Source organism: Homo sapiens, chromosome 1 (genome assembly GCF_000001405.40).
Source record: "Homo sapiens chromosome 1, GRCh38.p14 Primary Assembly".
Lineage (NCBI taxonomy): Eukaryota > Metazoa > Chordata > Mammalia > Primates > Hominidae > Homo > Homo sapiens.
The window spans coordinates 209,562,526-209,570,650 of NC_000001.11; the positions used below are offsets into that span (position 1 = coordinate 209,562,526).

An 8,125-nucleotide genomic window follows, 5' to 3' on the forward strand; every position below is an offset into this window, starting at 1 on the left:
AAACAATGGGGTTCTTTGCATAGAAGAGTCTCTTCCTAGGAAGGTATTCAGAGAGTTTGGTCAGAGATGGCTTATATGAAGTCTGCATTGGATACCACCAAAATAATGCCAGGAGGAAGGAAAAAAACCCAATCTCTACCACTTGTTTTGAAGACAAGATGCTAAACAACTCACTGCTTGGGTTGCAGAGGTTTTTAAAATTTATTCATGTATTTGTTTTTACTGAATTGTGTGCACAGGGCACTCAGAATATACAAAACAGTAAACATTAAATCTACCATCCGGATATTTCTAAACATCTGGGCATTTGGCATCACATTGACCCCAACATGTTGTCATATGACCGTGGAGTTGGAGCCCAGAGCAGACACAGGCAGAGGAGGCAGCACATGGAGAGGGGTGTTTAGCTCACCCATCCCAGAATGCCTGTGGATGTCCATGTCTCAAATACTCTGATGTATTGTCAGGCTATGTCCAAATTTTTAATTTGGAAACTATAGTCACAATAGATACAGGGATAAAAGAAACAGTATGAGGGAGAGGGAGAAAAAAAGGAAGAAAAGACAGGGAAGGAAAGACAGCAAATGAGAAAGGGACCTGGCTGGGGCACTTCTTTGAGCAGTGGGGATGGAACAGTTAGAAAACGCGTGCCACACCGTATGGCATTCCCAAGGGGTGCTGTTTCCACAGCCACCGTCTAACACTGTCGTGGGCTGTTCTCATCCCAACCCCAAGGCTCAGATGGAAATAGCCCAAGCACTAGGTTCCCCTGGAGCTTACCTTACACCAGGTTTAGTAACACTGTCGTTTTCCTCACCTCAGTGGTGTGGGACAGAGAGGGAAGAGTGAGAATCTCCCCATTCTACAGACAGGGAAGCCAAGGCTCGGGAGGGAACAGAAGGTAGCCAGCGATGAGCTGAAAGGTGGAGGTAAATCTAAGCTCCTTGTTTCCAGGGTGACATCTGGATGTTTTTCCCTTTTTTTTTTTTTTTTGAGACAGAGTCTCCCTCTGTCGCCCAAGCTGGAGTGCAGTGGCACAATCTCAGCTCACTGCAGCCCCTACCTCCCAGGTTCAAGCAATTCTCCTGCCTCAGCCTCCCGAGTAGCTGGGACTACAGCATGCACCAGCACACCTGGCTAATTTTTATGTTTTTAGTAGAAATGGGGTTTCACCATGTTGGCCAGGCTGGTCTTGAACTCCTGACCTTAAGTGATCCACCAGCCTCAGCCCCGCAAAGTGCTGGGATTACAGGTGTAAGCCACCGCACATGACCATTTTCCTTTTCTAGAGGTAAGAGCTCAGAGAAGCCTTAATTGAAATAATTCCCCGCTACCCACATATAGATCAAAAGACAGGCAAGATGAGGCGAGACTGTTTGGAAGCCTGGAGAAGATTGGCACCACTTTAAACATGGCCCTCCACATACACACCTCCTCATACCCAAACATACACATGTTCATGCCACATGTCCTTAAGATTTATTTTGTTAAACCCATGAAGTGAAGACCATCCTCTCTACAGAGTCCCCCTGCCTGCCTGCCTGCCTGCCTAGAATCTCCCTGTGTTTTTATTTCCTGTACTGGGTGATTGATTACAGAAGAGCAAATTAGCTCCTACTGCTTTTAAGATGCATTTTCTTTCTTAAAGAGAAGATGATGTGAGCATTACTTCTCCCTGTCCACTGTGTGCCTTGGCTTTGGGCCTGTAGTCACTGCAGCTTTGGTAGGGCCTTCCTGGAAGGGAGGAGTACAGCAGCATCTGCTAGCCTGCAGCTAGGCCCACCCTGGGGGCCCAGTCCTGCACCCACTCTGCTTTCCCCAGGCTTCTCCTCCTGTCCCAGGAGACTCTCTGGTTACTCCAAACTATTTTCACCCTTCTCTCTGTACCAATACATGTGAATTCAGTTGCCTAGCAGAGTAGATGCTGTTGAATGAATGATGAAGTAAATGATGAATGAATTATAAAGACTAAAATCTCAACTTAATGAAATAAATGTGCTCTGGGCTCCAAAGCATGCTCCCCTGCCCACATCTCTGTCTCTCTCCTCTCTCTGTCTCTCTGTCCTCTCTCTCTCTCTCTCTCTCTCTCTCTCTCTCGTGGGTCTTGCTATTCAAAGTAGTTCCTGGACCAGCAACATCAGCAGTCACCTGGGAGCAAGGTTCCAAGGAGACCTATATACAAATTAAACCTCGAGAAGCACTGCTGTGTGGTCCTGAGTGGAGGCAGGCTGGTAGACAAAATGATCTCTCAAGGCCCCTCATTGCTTTACATGTCTCTCAACATGATCTCAGATAAAGACGGTTACGAGAAGACTTAGCCCAGGGTCACTGTACACCTACAGGGCCGGCCTGGAATGTGGAAGGTAGAATTTCAACTCTTTCCCTCCCGGTCTAGTCCTTCCTGCTGTAATGCTCCTTTGGAGGTCCCAGCTGACAGAGTCAGAGCACAGCATGGCTTTGCTCTAACTAATTGCCAACAGTTGGCTGAAGCTACATTTGTTATTCAAAAAGCCTCATTAATCTCCTAATGCCAGTGTAGCCATGGCTGCTAATGGTGCCTCTCATCTCCCCACACCCAGTTCCGGATGGGGCATCCTGGCTCCTGGCAGCAGAGCAGCAGGAAATGGCTTCCTTCTCAGAAGGCTAAGCTAGTATCTGGGGTCATGGAGCCGGGCTGATTTAGAACCTGGCTGAGTTCCACCTGTGGATGGAGTGGTACTAGGAGGCTGGACTCAAATCTGGGTCATCCTTGGGTCACAGAGCCTTGGAATGGTTCAGGTAGGTGGAAGAATGGATTATAGAATACCACAAGAAGGCTTATGTGAGACCTCTTGGATGAGCTGAGCTGAGCTGCCCCCTCACAGCCAAATCAAGAAATCCACTGCTTGTCTCTTGGGTATAGGGATGGGCTCTATCTCGCGAAACCCTGCAGCATGTTTGGACATGGAAGAGGTGCCTTCCAGAAAGCTCATGATGGGGAAGTCCTGAACAACTAGAGAGCCTTTGCCAAGGTTGAATCGAGGTTGAAACCTGCATGTATCCTATGGCCCAGAGAACATGATTTCAGTGCTTTCCTGTCTTCTTTCTCTAAGTTCTGCCTCTGTGGGTCTGTCTTTCCACGACTATAAACTCCGAAGGGACGGGATCTGCTGTGTCTTTCACACCTAACCCCTCACATCCCCAGTACTGGCCCTGCTGACTCATGAGCCATCCACCTGACTCACAGTCAGATATGGAGGTACAGGAGAGAGTATGAGGGGGACGGGAAGAAGGAGAAATAGCAGAGGAGAAAAAGGAGCAAGCAAAGAAGAGAGCTGGCAGAGCATACCTCTGGGCAGGGAGAATACGATGAGTATCAAGAATAAGACGCTCCGTGAAGACTCATGCCACTGCCCCCAGTGGCTATGGGTCTGGACCCAGATGGGTGCACCAACCGCAGCAGCAGGGCTGAGACAGGCGCAGCCTAGGAGGGCTCCATCCTCTTTTTACTTCCAAAATTTTATTATAACATTTTCCAGACAGAAAAATTGAAAGAATTTCACAGAAAATGCCCAATATAGATAGTGGGTATATAGGTGCCCATCTTTTTCGCTGTTTTTGTTTTTCCAAGGGACCAGATCCTCTGGCCTCGATCAATTCAATCCCATCAGTATTGCCCAAGCTTAGATGCGCGGGCAGCCTTCTCACCAGCCATTATTAAGGTATTTGTTAGAACAACACTGCCCCCTGCTGACTACAGGCTCTCACTTCTCTGGGACGGCTCTGCCTTGCAAAGGGCTAAGAGAGGGCTGGATCAGATTGTTCCTTCCCAGCCCTTTGCTTTGTCCCTCCCGTGTCTACCCTTAGCTTTGCCTCCACCCTCAACTTTAGTTCCTGGGGCACCCGCCCAGGCACAGCAATGAGCACCCGACTGAGACTCAGACAAGCTCAGACAATTAAGCAATGTGTGAGGCCAGCAAATGTCTTTTATCTTCATTTTTCTACAACTTTTCACTGAGTACTGCTTGTGTGAGGTGCAGCACTAGGGCTGTAGGCAGGGCAAAGCTATGTCTCCAGGCTGTGGATAAATAACTTGACCGCCTGGAGCCTCACTTTCCTCCTCTGTGAAATAGGGATCATCAGACTCTTTCTTTTCTGCTTCAGAGAGGGGCTGTCAAGCAAAGAATGAGAAAGAGCGCAATGAACCTGATGGTTTCAGACATAACTGGGAAGATCTAGAAAGCATTCACCTTCTTAAGGCTACAACTGAACCTATTTCCAGGTGATTTCTTAACTTCAGGTAAGTAGCTTGGGCCTTAGTATATGTATTAGTCCGTTTTCACGCTGCTGATAAAGACATACTCAAGACTGGGGAATTTATAAAAGAAAGAGGTTTAATTGACTCACAGTTCAGCATGGCTGGGGAGGCCTCACAATCATGGTGGAAGATGAAGGAAGAGCAAAGGAACATCTTACGTGGTGGCTAACAAAGAAAAAATGAGAGTCAAGCAAAAGGGGTTTCCCCTTATAAAACCGTCAGCTCTATTGAGACTTATTCACTACCGTGAGAACAGTATGGGGGACACTATCCCGATGATTCAATTATCTCCCACCAGGTCCCTCCCACAACACATGGGAATCATGGGAGCTACAATTCACAATGAGATTTGGGTGGGGACAGAGCCAAACCACATCAGTATATTTGTAGTTAAATATTCTCAGGTGTTTAGTGTTTAAATATCTCTACCAAAGGAAAGAAGTAAAGCAGAATGGATCATCCCAAACACTGGTGGCCTCTGGGGCAAGCTCCCTGTATAACTGGAAGCTGACAGAGCGAGATCTCACCTCAGGCTTCTGGCACCTGTTTCATTCAAGATCAGTTACAGCTGTGGTTCTCAATCCTGAGCTAGATCAGAATTACCTGAGGGAGTTGTTAAAACCCAGACTCTGGCCCCATCCTCAGCCTCTGATTCAGCTTGCGTGGGGTGAAGCCTGGGGGTTTGCATCTCTTAAACATCCCCCGATACTTACCTGGGACCAGACTGGGAACCACTGAGCTCGGCTCCGCTTTGGCAACAACTCCTGAATCTCAGTGACTTTGCACCACAGAAGTTTATTTTTCGCTTGTGCTACCCATGGATAAGAAAGAGTCAGTGCAGCTCTGCTCCACATAGTCACTCAAGAGCCCAGGCCCACTTAGGTCCCCCCACCCACCTTATAGCTGCAGCTTCTGGAACATGTGACCTTCTTGGTTGCTGTGGCACAGGAAAAGAAACTGAAGAATCATGTGTGGGCTTTTAACTGTCTCAGCCCAGAAGTGATGATATAAGCCACATGCACTCACATTTCACTGACCAGAGCTACTCACATGGCCCTGCCCACATTCCAGGCAGGAGTCTTCCATGTCTCTAGAAGAAGTGGATTGGATGTTGGTGAATGCTTGTACTTGTGGGGACAAGAATGACTTTATTTTAAATGGTAATTCATCATGTAACTTATGACTAACCCCGAGTCCAGGAATGCCTCCAAAATGTCTAGTTGATGTATTACTCTTTATGTAGGAACATCTATTCATTGTAAGTTTCCTCCAAAACAACCCTTGTAGTTGCAGAAATCAAAGGCTGTGACACCCATAGCCATCTACACATCCCTTCCAGAGCATGTATGCTTTTTCTTCAAGATATAAGCCCTGGGTCTGGGGGGTGTTGTGGTGCAGAGATCTACCTGTCTTGGGACCACCCAAGACCTTGCTTCTGCCTGTAAGTTCCCCATAATAAATCATTCAAAACTGACAAACTATATTTGTCTGCCTCTTTCTTTGGTTACTTGGCTCCTTCTGCATTTGGAGGTTGCCTTATACATGCGGCCCTTTCATGGAACAGTACTGTCAACCATACCAAGCAAGCATATCTCTTTTCACTCTCAAGAACATGTGTGATCACAGCAAAATGGGGTGGTGGTTAGCGGGAACAAATATCTGGCCTCATAAGTCTTGGTCATTTATGATGATGATGATGATGATGATGACAGAAAATAACTACTGAGTGCTCACTATGTTCCAGGAACTGTTCTAAGTAGTTTTTGTGTATCAACTCGTTTAACCCTCACAATAACCTTACATGGTAAGTACCATTTATACCCATTTTATAAATGAGGAAACTGAGGCAAAGTGTGATTACATCGCTCACCCAGGTCATAGAGCTATAAGAGACACAGCTGGGATTATAATCCAACCAGTCTGACACCAGAGTCCATGTTTTAAATCACTGTTCTGCTCTATCACTACCCAGCTAACTTTATTTTTGAAGATAAGAGGAGACTATAGTAGAAGGCCTGATTATGATTAATAGATAAGTGAATAGTTCAAACCCGAATAATCCAAATACAAACAGTTCTACAGAGAGGGGATCCCCACCCAAGCATCTCTACTGATATCCCAAATATGCCCAAATATGTCAAAATGGTTTCCAGTTCCAACAGAAGGGCTTTCAGGGTCCTCACCAATGCCCCACAATGTCTGGAAGGCCATTCAGGTAGTGTCTGTTCCCCCCTAAAATCACACTCTTCCTAGTAAATTGATCAGGAGGATGGACAATTTTTTTTTTTTTTTTTTGCATTTCTCAAAGAATTGCCTCCCAGGTCATACAGATCCCCCTTAGGAGGATCTTATGCCCACTTTCCTCCCTGTTTCCCCCTACACTTCCCCTTGGCCCTATTCCATCTGGAAAGACAAACTGTAGAGTCCCCAACCTGACCCAAGCATCTACTCTTTCTCTACCCTGGTGGGCCAGTGGCAGGTTCTTATTTGACAATATCATCATAAGAGGATTTAAGTCTTAGCATCAGTAAGAAAAAGCAATTCTTCAGGTTGAAGCATCTACACAAAAAATAACCTTTCTCCCTACTGATTGTGATAGCCTCTTGTAACTTCAATAAGTATGCTATTAAAAACTCTGTTTCTTTATTCTGTCTCACCAAATACCCCCTCCCCACAATAAATTGAGAAATGAAATATATATATATATGAGATAGAAAAATCCCACCTGGACTCACTGGATTAGGTGAATTTGTTTTCCTCATTGGTGGATGCGTAGGATTTAGCTGCAAAGAGCCTCTGGCCAGCAGAGGGCGATAGTCTCATAGCTTCAAATGTAAGCTACAGGTCCGCCCTCAAAGGTATCTCTCGGGGAATGTTTCCCTCATCAAGAAGAATCTGTTTAATCCGAAACACAGGACGCTCGATGGTTCTTGTTAGTGCCTCAAATGGAGTCAATCAGTGGCCTCAAAATGTCAGATTTCCTCCCTGGGTTTTACGAGTCTCTCATTTCCTGTTTTTCTTAATGAAAGTTCAAAATCTCCCTGGCAATGATTTTGAATCACCACAGTTTTCAAGAAATCTGAAAATCCTATTTCTTTTGGTTGGACAGCCATCAAAGATACATGTCAGTCATTCCATCCATCTCTCTTTCTCTCTCAGTCACACACACACACACACACACACACACACACTCAACTTTCACAATTCTTGCTGACAGCTCAAACCCATGTCTGCAACCAGAGATCCAGCAGAGAAGAAGGAATGGTTGGAAATTGACTAAGCACTCCAACAAGTTATTTTGCATCGATGATCTGTGTTATGAGAGGTCTCCAACCTGCTCAAAGGTGTGCTTAGCATTACTAAGGGCACATGGAGTAGTGGCTAAAGCAATTCTTTCTGGTCCGGTCTCCAGGTGGTTAAAGGCATGAAACATATCTTTCCTCTCTTGCAAGAGTACCTATCAGATGGACCAGCAGTGGGGATTGTGCTTTGGAAAAAGGCAACAGCAACCCACCTCTTGGCTAATTCTGACATAGAAAGCATATTGCACCCACAGCTCCTGAAGGGCACCCCATGGGCTCTGACTCAGATTGAAAGGGAAAAAATGGAGATCCAAGATTTCACGCTGTCAGCGAATCCGTGTCTTCAGAGGGTGGCAAAGGCAGACTTGGGATCCTTGGGAGCTCTCCCTCCAGCACTTGAGCCGGGAGGCATGCTGAGCCCCATAATTCCTTACTGCAGCCCTGCCCAGCCAAGCAAGCTTCCTGCCCCAGAGTTCAGTCTTAACCATCGCTGCGGAGGTGCGTTAGTTTGCTAGGAGGACTGCCT

General features: G+C 46.3%; 1 long non-coding RNA gene across 1 annotated transcript; it reads right to left on the reverse strand.

The window, feature by feature from the left end:
- Nucleotides 1-4,422: 4,422 nt before the first annotated feature.
- On the reverse strand, nucleotides 4,423-5,298 carry LOC105372899 (uncharacterized). The gene is made up of 3 exons (XR_922537.2): nucleotides 5,194-5,298; nucleotides 5,011-5,108; nucleotides 4,423-4,462 (listed from the first exon to the last, which is right to left on the reverse strand). It is a non-coding gene; the product is annotated as an uncharacterized LOC105372899 (long non-coding RNA).
- Between the last annotated feature and the right edge of the window lie 2,827 nt (nucleotides 5,299-8,125).